At 36.8% G+C, this 16,213-nt stretch overlaps 1 protein-coding gene across 16 annotated transcripts in view; it reads left to right on the top strand.

The window, feature by feature from the left end:
- The window catches only part of CEP128 (centrosomal protein 128), a 482,534-nt gene that overhangs the window by 156,477 nt on the left and 309,844 nt on the right, over positions 1-16,213 (top strand). For all 16 annotated transcript variants that reach the window (NR_157142.2, XM_047431023.1, XM_011536493.3 and 13 more), the window contains one exon: positions 9,916-10,266. Coding sequence is in view for 15 of the 16 variants with exons in the window: in XM_047431023.1 (XP_047286979.1) it covers positions 9,916-10,266 (351 nt within the window). In the remaining variant the exon portion in view is untranslated. The remainder of the gene's footprint in view (positions 1-9,915; positions 10,267-16,213) is intronic.

Genomic DNA, 16,213 nt, shown 5'->3' with positions numbered 1-16,213 from the left:
CAGAAAAACTGACAAATGCGTTCTTTCCTTTTTCAGTCTTTCAAATGCCACAGTTTGTTCTTATGTATGATAAGCCAGCTCCATTGGATTTGGTTGCTGAAATTCAATTCAGATGAGAAAAGAATTGGTTCTAAAAGTCCATTCCTGTTTAAAAGGATTATGTTCAATTATTTTTAATGTTGCCATAATATTTAATATCCTAGTGTTAGCATAAAGTCTTTTGGTGATTAATCTTTCTCAAGCACATACCTAATCATGTTATTCTCCTGCTAGAAAACCTTTGAAAGCTTAAACTGGATTTCAGTATCCAAGTCAATTTCTGACCTTACTTTTCTTTTTTTTTCTTTATTTCTTCTAAAAAATAAAAAAAAACGGGATACATGTGCAGAACATGGAGGTTTGTTACATAGGTTATATGTGTGCCATGGTGGTTTGCTGTACCTATTGACTCATACTCTAAGTTCCCTCCCCTCACCCCCCACTCCCCAACAGGCCCCCCTGGTGTGTGTTGTTCCTCTTTCTGTGTCCATGTGTTCTCAATGTTCAACTCCCACTTACGAGTGAGAGCATGCGGTGTTTGGTTTTCTGTTCCTGTGTTAGTTTGCTGAGGAGGATGGCTTCCAGCTTCATCCAGATCCCTGCAGAGGACACGATCTCATTCCTTTTTATGGCTGCATAGTATTCCATGATGTATATATACCATATTTTCTTTATCCAGTCTATCATTGATGGGAATTTGGGTTGATTCCATGTCTTTGCTATTGTAAATAGTGCCGCAATAAACATACGTGTGCATATATCTTTATAATAGAATGATTTATATTCCTTTGAGTATATACCCAGTAGTGGGATTGCTGGGTGAAATGGTATTTCTGGTTCTAGATTCTTGAGGAATCACCCTACTGTCTTCCACAATGGTTGAACTAATTTACTTTCCTACCAACAGTGTAAAAGTGTTCTTGTATCTCCACAGCCTCACCAGCATCTATTATTTCCTGACTTTTTAATAATTGCCATTCTGACTAGCATGAGATGGTATCTCATTGTGGTTTTGATTTGCATTTCTCTCATGATCAGTGATGTTGAGCTTTTTTTTTTTTTTTTTTTTTTTTTTTGGGGAGACAGAGTCTCACACTGTCACCCAGGCTAGAGTGCAGTGGCACAATCTCGGCTTACTGCAACCTCCGCCTCCTGGGTTCAAGCGATTCTCCTGCCTCAGCCTCCCAAGTAGCTGGGACTACAGGCACCCACCACTGTGCCCAGCTAATTTTTTGTATTTTTAGTAGAGACGGGGTTTCACTATGTTGGCTAGGCTGATCTCAAACTCCTGACCTTGTGATCTGCCTGCCTCGACCTCCTAAAGTCCTGGAATTACAGGTGTGAGCCACCGCATCTGACCGATGTTGAGTTGTTTTTTCTTATGTTTGTTTGCCACATAAATGTTGTCTTTTGAGAAGTGTCTGTTGATATCCTTTGCCCACTTTTTGATGTGGTTGTTTGTTTTTTTTTCTTCTAAATATGTTTAAGTTCCTTCTCAATAAATGCAGCAAAAGGCCTTTGATAAAATTCAGCATCTCTTCATGTTAAAAACTCTCAATAAACTAGGTATTGATGGGACGTATGTCAAAAACTAGTAAGGGATATTTATGACAAACCCACAGCCAATATCATATTGAATGGGCAAAAGCTGGAAGCATTCCCTTTGAAAACCGGTACAAGACAAGGATGCCCTCTCTCACCACTCCTGTTCAATATAGTATTGGAAGTTCTGGCCAAGGCAGTCAGGCAAGAGAAACAAATAAAGGCATTCAAATAGAAAGAGAGGAAGTCAAATTGTCTCTGTTTGCAGATGAAATGATTTTATATTTAGAAAACCCCATCATCTCAGCCAAAAAAGTCCTTGAACTCATAAGCAAGCTGACCTTATTTTTTAATCTCTCTTTAGCCCTCTCAAGCTATTACTTGTCATAATCAGCCACCAGTGGTGAAATCTGTTGCCCATATGTTTTTTGGTAGTGAATGTTCGTTTCCTTTCCATAAGTGACCCAATCTTTTCTCTTCTTCACATTTTAGTTTGCCTTCTTTCTCATGTTTCATTTCTCTTCTTTCTGAGGTCTTGCTGAACAGAGTAGTTTCTCTTGAAACATACTAACTTAAATCTGGTTTCTAATAGTTAATAGCAATGTCTGTTCTCTCCTGCTCATTCATATGCACCCCAATCAGTACTTATACTGAAGTACTTCCTTAGTGCCTAACCTAGTGTCTTTAACATAGAAAGGAATAAATAACTAGTCGATGCCTGGTTTAGTTTTAACACAAGTCAACCTTATCCTGTGATTTTTTTTTCTCAGTTCACAAACATTTAGGAAACACCTCTGCATCAAGATCGTATGATTCCTCTTCAGGAGTTCCTCTTGTCTAGAAGGAACATGGCAACTTAGTTATTAAAGGGGTCATTTGAATAGTATCCAAATCATTATCATAGTGAAGTGGAATCAATACTGGATTGAATATTAGGGACCTGTGTTTAGTCCTTTCTCTGCCAAAAACTATCTGCCTTATCTTGGATTGATCACTCTTCCTGTGCCTCAATTTCCTGATCTGTAAAATGTAGACATTGGATTATGTCACTAATTCTAACATTGTTGCTAGCAAGATATAAAAAGTTCTCTTTATCGAGTTCCTAAAATGTGTCAGTTACTCTTTTGGGTGCTTTATCTTCATGTAGGTTATCATTCCTCTGGAAGTCGGTGTTATTGAGTCCATTTTATAAGTGACATTGTATCGGGGGAACCTGTCCCCAGTATTTCAGTGTAGGTTCTTTCTATTTTCCATAAGAAATAAAGAGTACAAAGAGAGGAATTTTACAGCTGGGCCACTGGGGGTGACATCACATATCGGTAGGACTATGATGCCCACCTGAGCCTCAAACTAGCAGGTTTTTTATTAAGGGTTTCAAAAGGGGAGGGGGTGTAAAACAGGGAGTAGGTACAAAGATCACATGCTTCAAAAGGCAAAAAGCAGAACTACTAATAAGGGTCTAACAAAGATCACATGCTTCTGAGAGAACAGGACAAAGGGAAAAAGCAGAACCACTGATAAGGGTCCAACAAAGATCACAGGGCAAAGGGTAAAAGCAGAACTACTGATAAGGGTCTATGTTCAGCGGTGCACTTATTGTCTTGATAAACATCTTAAATAACAGAAAACAGGGTTCGAGAGCAGAGAACCAGTCTGACCACAAATTTACCAGGGGCAGAGTTTTTCCCCACCCTAGTAAGCCTGAGGGTACTGCAGGAGACCAGGGCATATCTCATTCCTCATCTCAACTGCACAAGACAGACATTCCCAGAGCGGCCGTTTATAGACCTCCCCCTAGGAATGCATTCCTTCCCCAGGGTATTAATATTAATATTCCTTGCTAGGAAAAGAATTTAGCGATATCTTCCCTACTTGCATGTCCGTTTATAGGCTCTCTGCAAGAAGAAAAATATGGCTCTTTGCCCAACCCTGCAGGCAGTCAGACCTTATGGTTGTCTTCCTTTGTTCCCTAAAAATCGCTGTTACTCTGTTCTTTTTCAAGGTGCACTGATTTCATATTGTTCAAACACACATATTTTACAATCAATCTGTACGCTTAACACAATTATCACAGTGGTCCTGAGGTGACATACATCCTCAGCTTATGAAAATAACAGGATTAAGAGATTAAAGTAAAGACAGGCATAAGAAATTATTAAAGTACTATTTGGGAACTGATAAATGTCCATGAAATCTTCACAATTTATGTTCCCCTGCCACAGCTCCAGCCAGTCCCTCCGTTTGGGGTCCCTGACTTCCGGCAACAACGTTGCTTTGGTTCATGAAGGTTAAGCACCCTTCTAAGGTCACAGGATAGCAGAGCTGGGATTTGAACACAAGCCTGAGTGACTCATTCTGTTTCCATGATATGCCACTGTCTTCCTAGAGATGTGACTTTTGAGTCATTACAGTCTGGCAGTTTTCTCACTTACCCTTACAAGTTTCTATACAAAGCACATAAATACTATAAATGAAAATGATTATTTAAAATATGCATTGTTTATCCTGGTTTATTTGGGGGTAGATTTTCCATTTTCAATGTATGTTTTTAAATGTTCACCAAGGTGCCCAATCTCTTGTGTGTGTTCACTGTCAAGTGTGAGTAGAGGAAAAATTGCACTATATTATATTATACGTTCATTCCATCAGTGAACAAATGAGTAGTTATTGTTGCCACCTGTGTGGTAGTCTACTTTATGTCTCTTAAACCCTCATGGAAAATGTTTTAAATGCAGGCTTAGCAGTTCTTTTCTGGCATTTGAGAACTTGGATGATAAGTAGTTTTCTACGCTGAAATAAAGTTTTACTTAAATAATAATAAGGAGAATTCACTGTGTCTAGACTACAAAAAATATAGTTTATTTTGACCACCTGGTTACTGAGAGTCTAAAATTTTGCTCCATACAGGTAGATGGTGCCCAAGTGACTAGCCCCTAATTAAAACTTTGGACACAATGAGCTTTCCTCATAGATAACACTTTATATGTGTTGTCAGAATTCACTGCTGGAGAAATTGAACATGTCTTGCGTAATTTCACTGGAAGTGGACTCTTAGTTTCCACTGGACTTCACTTCGTGTGCCTTTTTCTCTTTGCTTATTTTGCTTTCTTTCTTTCCTCTTTAATAAATCTTAACATAATTATGACTGTAATATGCCGAGTCCTATAAATCCTTCCAACTACCAGCAAACCTGAGACCTTCAACCCAACTACTCATCACCATTTTTTCCCAGTTGAAGAAAGAAAGAGAAAAGAAGGAGAATTGAAAGGTATAAAGTTTTAGATTTAGATGGAGCTTTTATAAGCCTTTTGGCAATGTATGGGCAAGAATTTATGGTAATATGGATAATTCTGTTTTTGAGTTGTTCCTTTTTTTGACACTGCTTATATAGCAAGAAATAAACATGGACTTAATTAAGTGATATGAAATTTAACCATTCTGCTTTAGTGGCTGAGATAATTTCACACAATCTAAATGTAAAAAGTTCCTCAGTGTAGAAGATGCCTCCAGGAATATATAATAGTAATAATAGAACTGAAAATCATTATAATGGAATAAATAAGTAAAATGCTTTTCATTTAGCATTTCATGTAGTGCATTAGGAAAATAATATTTATTACTTGTGCCTTAATATTTACTATAAATACCCTGAAAGCATTTATGCATGGATTTATTATGTGTTTGTACACTTATGTGCTCTATGTATATGTTCATATGTATGTGAGTGAGAGTGTATGTGTGTTGGGAATTGATATGAGGGTTCTGTAGTATAGTCCTTTGATTGATGTGGGATAAATATTTATTACAGTTAGATTTTTCTGATTGGTTATTTGAGGAAAATGGATTAAAGAAATGCCGAAACAATGGCTGAATAGGATCCTTAGGAGAATATAGGAAGGACCTCTATGATGAATTTTACCTGAAACATAACACAGGCTGATAGCAAAGCAGTAGCTACTGATAGTTTCCAGACTTAGGGCAGTTAGAAGAGGTGTTCATCCAGGACAAATTCAAACCTGCTTTCTCTTGAGTAGTGAAAACCACAATTATTTACAAGAAGATCCTACCCTTTTCTGTTCATTTACACTCACATACCCAATCAATGACATGATCTTTTCAAATATTATTCAAAGTGAATTATTGCATGTAGCATGTTAATATAAGAGTCCGCAGTTTTTAAATGTGAGAACAAAAGAGTTTGCCTGCGTAAGCTCTGGGCTTGAATATGTTAATCCTGTGCTCCCTGTTGTTGCTCTGTAGTTACAGAAGATTAAATAACCCTGAAGTTACTTTGCTTCTGGGTTCAAGTGAGTTGCTGGAGAAATCCAAAGAATTTGGTATACTCTTGGGCCCATTATAAATTTGAGATTATCTAACTAGAACCTTATTTCTGTTTGTTATCTTTTAGACATCTATCAGTTGTTCATTTCCTCTTTTCCTACAGTGATTATTTCAGATCTGCTCACTATTAAAATACACAATTCAGCTCATTTCCATCCTCCCTCATCAGAGAGCCACTTTCCTGCCATTTTAGTAGGACTGCCTTTTTGTTAGGAGTTGGTCCTCAGATAAGTTTACTTCTTGACTTGCTAAATTTAAGATGCCTGTGAGATTTCTAAGTGTAGAAAGTTATGAAGCCATTAGATATTTGAAAGTCTGGAGATGATGGGTTAGTATGGCTTCTGAATGTAGGACTCACTAATACCTACTAATATCTGTCTACCTAAATACTCATCTACCGAGGGTATTGTGTAGGTGGGATGATGCATAATACTGGAACTTTATAGAGTTATTTAGATTTAAGAGGCTAAATGGTAGGAGAGACTCAGGAAAGGAGATTATGAAAGAAGAAGAATAAGAAGATAGAGAACTAGTGAGAAGTAGTATTATGAAAGTTAAGGAAGCAGAGAGTTAGAATGAGCAAGGGGTTATTAACAGTGTCACCTGCTACAAGGAAACTAGGTGAAGGAAATTTTTTTTTTTTTTGGACTGAATCTCGCTGTGTGGCCTAGGCTGCAGTGCAGTGGCGGAAGCTCAGTTCACTGCAAACTCCACCTCCTGGGTTCAAGCTGTTCTTATGCCTCAGCCTCCTGAGTAGCTGGGATTACAGGCGTGTGCCACCATACCCAGCTAATTTTTGTGTTTTTAGTAGAGACAGGAGTTTCGCTATGTTGCCCAGGCTAATCTCGAACTCCTGGGCTCAAGTGATCCGCCCACCTCGGCCTCCCAAAGTAAGATTTTTAAAGAGTTATTGTATTTGGCTGTAGGTGATCTTTGGGGATCTTGATGAGAGCTGTTTTCATAGTATGATGGACACCAGATGTAGTGAACCAAGTGAACTGAAATAAGGTTGTAGGGGCATCAAGTATGGACCACTCTTTCCAGGATCTTGGCTTAAGAGGAAGATGAGTACATGGTACTGGGTAGAAGATAATGTAGGATTGAGGAAAGTGCTTTTGTTGGTGTTGTTTTTCTTTTCTTTATTTTTTAAAATCTTTACTGTTAGTTTTTGAGATGAGAGAAGTAAAGCAGAATAGTCAAGTAGGAAAATCGCAGAGATAGGCTATTTGTCTAAGGAAGAATCCCCTTTCCTTGGAGGCTGGAAAAGAGAAGAAACTGACCATTGGTAAATTTTAAAATACTACAAGTAGGACATATTTGGGGTATCCTGCATTAACTGCCTGCCCAATTTTACTTCTGAAGGAGGAGTTATAGTACATACTAAAACCAAAGGTAAAAATGGTAGGGTCAGAGATGAGACTTTTTGTCATAATGGCCCTTGTGTGAGCTGGGTTGAGGCATGTGGAAGACTTTCTGGGTGCCAGTGAGTTGACTCTCTATGTGGTCACATCAACTGATAGTCCTGTGTGATTTTTCTTACAGGACTCAACCTGATGTAGGAATTAGGAACTTTTTAAGTTCACCTAGAGTTGGTGGTTTTGTTGTTTATGTTCAGTGAATGAACAGTTTAAAGAGGGAGTCTAGGTGTAAGCAAGAGATTGGCTAAAGTGAAAAAATACAGTGTTTGGGTTAGAGAGCCAGGATTTAAAGCTAGCAAAAGAAATCTCAAGGGAGTGGTCATCTCCTTGACAATGAAGCACAGATAACACAGAAGGAAGAGGGTGTAATAGCTGATTAGATTGGTAATTAAATCCAGAGTTATGGGAAGAGGGTGGAGTCAGGAACCCCTTGCTTTAAAGGTGGCAGTTCTGATAAAAACACCAAGATAAAACCATGGCAGTGGGTGACTGAAGAGGCCTGGAGTTGGGGTCATCTGAGAATCTGGAAGTTTAGCAATAGGTTGATAACATGGGCTCTAGAAGCAGACTATCCAGGTCCAAATCCCTATGCCCTCACTTATTAGCTGTGTGATCTTGAGCAAGTTATTAACTCCAGCAAATGTTGGTTACTTTTCACTGAAATGGGGATAATATTGTCTCATTTTAGATTTGTGTTGGGATTGAATGAGGTAATTCATATACAGCATTCAATCTTTGGTATAACTCGAGTACTCAATGCATTTCAGTCACAGTCATAGTTATTTGATTATTATTGCTAGCTTCTTTTCTTTTAAATCTCAGCTTATGCATCACCTCCTATGGGAGACTCTCTACAGCCACATTGTAGTCTATAGACCCCTTTAGGTAACTCTCCATCATGTTTTAGCACCTAGGACTATCTAGTATAATTTAGTGGTTAGTGAGAATACCTCCCTAATTAGAGTTAGCTTCTCTGGTATTAAAACTATGTCCTATTAATATTTCTATAAACCATATGCTTGATGAACAGGAAGTATAACCACTTTCTTTCCAAGTATTTGTTGAAAAGAAAAATCAGTTCCATTTCTCTTTTGATCAGGAATCACTTGATTGCTGCTTGTTAATCAAGTTGATTTCTAGCATATTGGTAAAACTTTTAGAATAAGAGCAAAAGGTAAACCACAATTACAAGGGTTTTCTCATCTTATTTTAGAATTTTCTACACACACAAGTACACAGTTCTCAATTTACCATTTGGGTGGATGAGACATCTTCCAGGCTGCATTGAATTTAGCAAACTGGACAAATGCAAACCTGTCGCCCAGAAAATGAAGTTTGTTTTTGAGGCATTTAAAAAAATGTTTGCCATAATGTCAAACCATGATTTTAATCATGAGGGAAATTATATTTAACCTTATTTGAGCCATAGATCATAGAATCTGGACCTGGAACCTCTGCTGTTGGGGCCAAAGGAGCTTGGTAAATGTTTCTAGTTTCATTTGTCCGGACCTTAGTACAGTGGAGATGTTATTTATTGTTTATCCAACTCACAGCCTCATTCCAACCCCTGGAACCCATTCTTATTCGGACACATGACCTTTTTATGTTACTTTTGTTGCCACTAAGTATTTGGAAACTAAGGCTCAGGAGGGTCAGCTTATGTGACTCATTGTAAGTGCTTTATTTCTGAATTTATCACTTTCTTACAAAGCTTTACAAAAGTGGCTTAATGTTAATGATTCTTTAATGGCTTAATGTTAATGATTATTTTATTTGTATAAACTTGCATAAAACAATATCTTCTCATGTTTAAACTTAAAATAGATATTTACTTATTCTTAAAATATGTATTAATCATGATGATTTAGTGTAATTTCCAAATATATAATCACCATCCTGGCTTCAGGGAAGCTAGACTGAAGGTTTTTTTCTTGATTAGAGAAATATTCAAAATAAAGTTAAATTAAGTGTATTTATAAATCTGTACTATAGTGATTCATATCAGCTTGAGATAAGTGCTTCAATGTATAATATTATGTTGGTTTATCTGGAAATAATGTATAAACACTTTATTGGGAACCTAATATGTTATCTATGCTGATGTTTCTGTCACTCTATTGTTACTTATTTTTATTTTTTATTATAATTCTGTTTTGCTGCCAGAAGGCAAAATGTTATATATGATTGCTACTAATAGTTCTCTGATAACCTGACAAATTTTAAAACATCGATATTTCTTCAGCTGGACAAAACACTAGGTTGTTACTAAAATAATGCACATTGTTCGCTTCAAAAGTGCCTTCTATTTTAGTGACAGTCAATTGGAAACACATATTTTCCCTTTTTGGATGATAAAATAGTCCAAGAAAGGGAATATTTATATAAAAAATTATTCCCAACTAATGTGGTTATAAAATACAAAGAAAAAGACTCATGATTTCTAAATTGATTGCTAATGAATTTTAATACAGATGATTTCCACTTCAGTGACATTAGAGATTCTTGTTTGATGATATGCTACACATCCAATTTTGACAAGGATTTGTTCCTAATGTTTTGCATGCTTTATTCGTAGAATTTAACACGTGAACTGGAGAATGGGGAAAAACAGCAACTGCAGATGTTGGATCGACTTAAGGAGATCCAGAATCACTTTGACACATGTGAGGCCGAGCGTAAGCATGCTGACCTTCAGATCTCAGAGCTGACTCGCCATGCGGAGGATGCAACCAAGCAGGCTGAGCGGTACCTCAGTGAGCTCCAGCAGTCAGAGGCTCTGAAAGAGGAGGCGGAGAAGAGGAGGGAAGACCTGAAACTGAAAGCTCAAGAATCCATTAGGCAGTGGAAGCTTAAGCATAAGAAGTTAGAACGAGCGTTGGAGAAACAATCTGAAACTGTTGATGAACTGACAGGCAAGAATAATCAGGTATAAAAGCCACATTCCTAAGGAACGGTTTTCAATGTGATTCAACCATTCATTCATCTATCCTTTGAAAAAACACTTGAGTGCCATACTGTACATATAATCAATATGTCCTTGATAGACGAATCCTTATGTCTTGGCTGTTTCAAAGTACAAAAGTTAATTTTTAAATATTTTTTACTTAAGCCTTTTCATAGTTTAATATTATGTGGCTTTTCAGAGTTGGCCCATAAATAGATGTACCCCTTGCCCCAATTTAGGTGTAAGTTTCCTATATTGAATTATTGTTTAATCTTCTAATATTCCAATGGAAAAAAAATGACTAAATCTTTGTTATTTTCACACAACTTTCCTCCCAATGCATTTATTTTAAAATCTCATTTATTTATATATTTTCAACTAGGTATTGGTTAGAAAGAAGCATTTAAAAAATGCAGTAGTTACTAGGGCCATTTACTGGCAGCAACTGTGATGGGCTTACTTAAATGCGTGACACTGAGGATCTCACTGACTGAGCAGTGTTATGGGATCACAACCCTCTTCAAGACTTTGCTTTTATGCCCTTTTGATAGCAACAAAACGCATTTCACTGATATATGTATGCATTTCACATTATCTTTTCTCTTGTATAATCAGTTACTTTAAATGGATTTTATGCTCCTATGTTGATTCTCATCTGATATATCTTTGGGTTGAATTAAACCCAGATGTTTATAAGATAATAAGCAGGAAAGTCGTGATTGATTTTTTTATCCATGTTTATTCTTGGTTTATCATTTGTGCTTTGTCATTTGTCACTTGTCGAGAACTCTGTACATTCCAAAAGAATAATCATTTGGATAAGTTGACTTTCTTTGAAAAGAAAACAAAATATAGGGCATTATATTTATAAAATCAGTTTTCAGCATTTAAGAGTGACAGATACTTATTTCAGATGAGCTGTCATGGAAAAGATGCTTTATCTTTTACATATGAATTTCTCGGACATATAGAAGATGAAAGAAATGATCATTTTGCACTCACTGTGGATTGCTTTTCATTTTAACCCATCTGACACATACTGGGTGGCTGGTTGCCCTGAAGTAAAGCAGTTCTGAAGCTTTCAGACTTGTGTCTGAACTGATCTGATCCCAGGAAATTGCTCTATCTTGATTATTCTGTTGTCAGCCTGATCTGGCAACTGGCTCAATGAGCCTGACTGTAAGGTAGGTAGGTAGCTAGCGAGAGGAGTGGTTGAGAGAATTGATTGATTGAAAATCTCATCTGGAGGTTTTACTTAATTAGAAGAGATTTAGAAGGGTCCATGTTATCATACAGTAATTCCAGTCCATGGTGCTGAGACTTTTCTAGGTTGAGTTTTCAGAATATTAAAAATTGTTTAACAATCATTTCCCAGAATACTTCCAATTATTTTTATCACTTAGCATTACTAATGATAAGCAAAGAAGCAGTTTTAAAGTGATTGCCACAGTTAGGGTCGTATCACAATTATCACAGCAGGCATTGTAATTTCTCCTTTAAAAGCCTTAAAAATTAATGCAGCATGTTGCAGTTAGAGCAATGGTTTTTCAAGGAAAAAAGAGTAAGAAATGTGCTCAGTAAATCTGTGATGTGGAAATACATGGTAAATAATTTTGGAAAAAAAATTTAAAAATGTATTACTGAATATTATTTCAAAGGGATATTTAATTCTCAATAAAATCACAAAGCCACCTTAACACATTTATAATACAGCTACTTTCTTTTTGATTTTTAGGGCTAATTATTTTCAAAAAGTGACTGCAAGGTATTTTGGAAGGGTGTATTAAAATAAAAATTATACTGATTTACAAATATAACATATTGTGGCTTAAAGAATAAATTACTTAATAAGTAGCCTTACTGAGTCATTTTATATGATCATATGATGCTCTCCTCATATTTGCAGTATGGTTCTGTGTCTACCACCAGTTCTCTTTTTCTAGCATAATTTATTTTCTGCTTTAAGATTTGTTACTTAAAAAATATACAAAACGGCAAAAAGCTTTTTTTCTCTTAAAAATTTCTCTGATTTATTTCTTTTTTCCTGCTTTTTACATTTCTGGAATCTTAGTAAGGTTATCAGATATATATCATATTACAAAACTACTTCATTACTGAAGGATGTGTAATATCAAATCGCGTATCACTGCAGGGGAAAAAAAAAACCCAGATGGATCAAATTGTACACTTTCCTCAAAGACAATGCAATGGATATTTACATCAGGGAATTGTGGTGTACTTCAGGGATATGTAGGTAACACATATTAGGAGACTGAAAACTTTATAGATACAAATAATCTAGTCGTAAGTTGTGGTATTTTTGCTTCTCTTTTTCTTTTAAGGTACTGTTTGAAATCATTGGTTTGTAATGGTGCTTTGAAAACGATAAAGGAAAAAATTGGACTCCAATCATAGTATATGCTTTTCTGAATGTTTCCATTTTTTTTCATATTCTTTTTTAATATGGATAATGGGAATACTTCTTGGGATTTTTGTTGTTGTTGTTGTTTTGTTTTGTTTTGTTTCCCCTGCTGAATTGGCAGAATAATTGGCTTGCTTATGTATTGAGCTTTTTGCTTGATAGTATTTGACTTCAAGAATCTTAAATTACCATCTATTCCTTCTGTGTATTTCCTTCCTGCTGACAGAAAAAAAGAGTTATATGTAATATATGCTATCTTGTAAAATCTGAATTTTTGAATGGTTGAAAGTAAGAAGGATCAGTGCCAAAGTATATGATTTTTTGAATGCATATGGAGTCCTATCACATACAGTTCAAGAAATGCTAGAGTATGTATTAGTATAATCCAGCCATCTGCCTGCATTTTCCCTCACATGCAGGTAAAAAACAAAACAAAACAAAACAACAACAAAAAAAACATTGAGCAAGCCCCTCATCTACCTTTTAGTTAGTTAAAAAAAAAAAACCAAACTGCGTATATAATACTTTGTATTCACGTCTTTGAGGAGTTGGCTTCTGTTTCTGTAATTGCCATGGTTTTAAATAGTATCATTCTTTTGGCTTCGCACAGCTTTTTTCAGGCCTTCTTTCAGTAATCTTTTCTTTTGCCCCTTCTTTGGAAGCTTGGTTTGCCTGGTTAGAGCATTCTTTCCCCATTTTTGCTCTTGACTGCTGGCTATTTTTCATTTATGCCCCTACATTTCTCAAGGATTTTAGCACTTGGCTTTGCATCAACCTGTTTTATGACATTAATTCTTGCCGTCATCCTTAGTAACTTCAAAGTTCAAGTCTGCAACCTACTGAAGTCTGTATCCTTATAATTCACTAATGTCTTATTTTATAGTGACCGTCACTGAAATAATTCTACTTCAGCGTCTAATTTCTGTGTTTAAATTTTATCTTCATCTGTAATTGTTTCATGTCCAAGCCTTCAGTTCCGAAGCTCAGTCTCTGATCTTTCATAATTCTTCTATTCCCTACACCCTAGCTTTTTTAACTATTCATACCCAATTTTGATCTTTCTACATTCCTCTGGTTTACTAGCCAGTTTCTGGATTCAGTTTTTTTCCTGTCACATTGGACTTCATTGAAAGCTACTTTGATGTTGTTCTCATCACATCTTCAATTTCTTTCTTCTCCCTCATATATTTTACCGATTTCTAATCTGGAGTCAACCCGACTTTCCACTTTTTCCACTCCTTCTCCTTAACAGTAACAGCAAAACTTCCATAGAAATATCAGTTGGGTTCCATAGTATTCATGGTTACCTCCTGCCTCCCCCTATCCATTCCATTCAATAATTAATGTAAGACCATCACTAGGTACAAAATTGCAGAGAGCTGGAGCCAAAGCTTTGACATACTGTCAAATTGCAGAGAGCTGGAGCAGTTCTGCCTGGAATGATTTTCTTGTGGGTTAAGCCATTTCGGATTGGGATTTTCTCTTACCCTCAGCAGAAAAAATTCAAGTTTATGGAAACTTTGAGTTCTAGAAATAAGGAGCCATAAGTAAAATAGCCTAAATTGTAGGGTTGACCGAGAGGAGAAGTAGGGTAAGGGGCAAGAGAGGATCATATTGTTCTAAAGGGAAAGTTGGTAAACCTTGCTATGTGGTTGGAAGCAATTGGTTTAAACAGAAATCATATTTAGGGGCATTGATGCTGTGAATAAGAGGATAGTATTAAGTGACTGGTAGGAAAACTTTAGGATGTTGGAGTATGTTGTGTACATATTTCAGCCTTCAGTAAGGTCTTACAAGAGAAAGACAAGTTTAGGTTGAAACTGGTCTGTCTAAAAGCAGAGAGTTTTGTTCGTTTCTGTTTGTTTGTTTAAGGTGGGGAGCCTGAAGTCTACAATCTATAATCCAAATTGCCTATGAGTCTGATAATTTGGAACCCCTTAGGTTTGGAAAAGTTGAATTATTTATCCAAACTGAAATTAGTGCAAGCACAAGAGGGAGTCAGGAAACAGAAAAAAAAAAAAAAAAAAAAAAGATCCTGGCCAGACAAAGAGAACCCAATTCCACTGTTTTGATTTGCCTCAAGATAAAGGCTATTCATTTGAGGGCCCTGGGTATGTCCAGGGTATTGAGATGACAGTAAAGACACTGACATTTTCAGACTCAGAGAAAATGCCTAGACAGAATCTTAAGCTGTGGCTACTAGGCAAGCAATTAACCAGAATCAGATCGACAGAGCTTAGTTTTTAGTATCTGTATTGCCAAAGAAATTCCAAACTTGACTCACATGGTCTGTGACTGTCTGCCCTCTGGCTGTCACCCTTGTCAGGAATTGATGTGAAGCTTGGAACACTGCAAAGACAGCAAAAGATGGAGAGTTATAGAGTAGCAGAGCCTGAGCTTTGAGGGATTCTTCTTGAACCATCCTGTCTCTGGACTTACTGTTATGTGTGAAAAAGAAATATCTTTGCTTTTTAATCCAACTTCAGGAAGATATAATATTTCATAATTAAAGACACTTTACATGGTATGACTTCATTATGAAAATATGATTTTAATCCTCAGCACTGCCTATAAGTCTCTCAACTCATGCCAAGGGGGCTAAGTTATCTGCTTCAAACATATATCACTATATTGAAGGTCCCTACCCTCGCTCAGTCCCTCCCATGCTATCTTTACAGCCCAAATTTGATTCTATCAGTTCTTGTGTTCTCCAGTTTGGTAAGTAGAATGACCCTCCCCAAAGAAGTCACACTAATTTCTGGAACCAATGAATATGATAAGACATTACTCCTGTGATCACATTATCTGGATGGGCCTAATCTTATCACATGAGCCCTCAATAGAAGGTTTTTTTTTTTCTGGCTATTGAGAGAAGGGGACGTCAGAGAGAGTTGGAGCTTCGGAAGGATTCATCAAGCTGTTCAAGCTTTGAAGATGGCAGAGTCCATGAGCCAAGGAACAAGGTTGGCTTCTAGAAGTTCAGAATAATCGCTGACCAAAAGCTAGCAAGGAAATGGGGACCCAAAGTCCTACAACTGTATGGAAACAAGTTGTATCAGAAACCTGAATGAGCTTGGACATGGATTCTCCTCAGAACCTCCAGACAAGCGCCCTGGCCAGCTGATACATTGATTTTAGTCTTAGGAGACCTTAAGCTGAATACCTTGCTTGGCCTTTCAACCTATTGGAAGCAGTGAGATAAAAAATGTGTATTTTAAGCTACTAAGTCTGTTGGAAATTGTTATGAAGCAATAGAAAAATAATACATCTACCCTTAGGCTCATCTATATTTCTCCTACCTTACATTCTTTCGGAAGTGAACTCCTTCATCTGTGTTCCAGAGTTCCTTCTCCTCAGTTATCCCGTCTTTTCACAGTAGAGACGGGGTCTTGCTATGTTGCCCAGGCTGGTCTTGAACTCCTGAGCCAAAGCTATCTTCCCGCCTGAGCCTTCCAAATAGCTGGGATTATAGGGTGTGCCACTGGGCCTGGCTCTTTTTACAGTTTT

This window comes from Homo sapiens, chromosome 14 (assembly GCF_000001405.40).
Source record: "Homo sapiens chromosome 14, GRCh38.p14 Primary Assembly".
Classification (NCBI taxonomy): domain Eukaryota; kingdom Metazoa; phylum Chordata; class Mammalia; order Primates; family Hominidae; genus Homo; species Homo sapiens.
The sequence above is the reverse complement of the archived record's forward strand: the minus strand, read 5'-3'. Positions and strand labels throughout refer to the sequence as shown.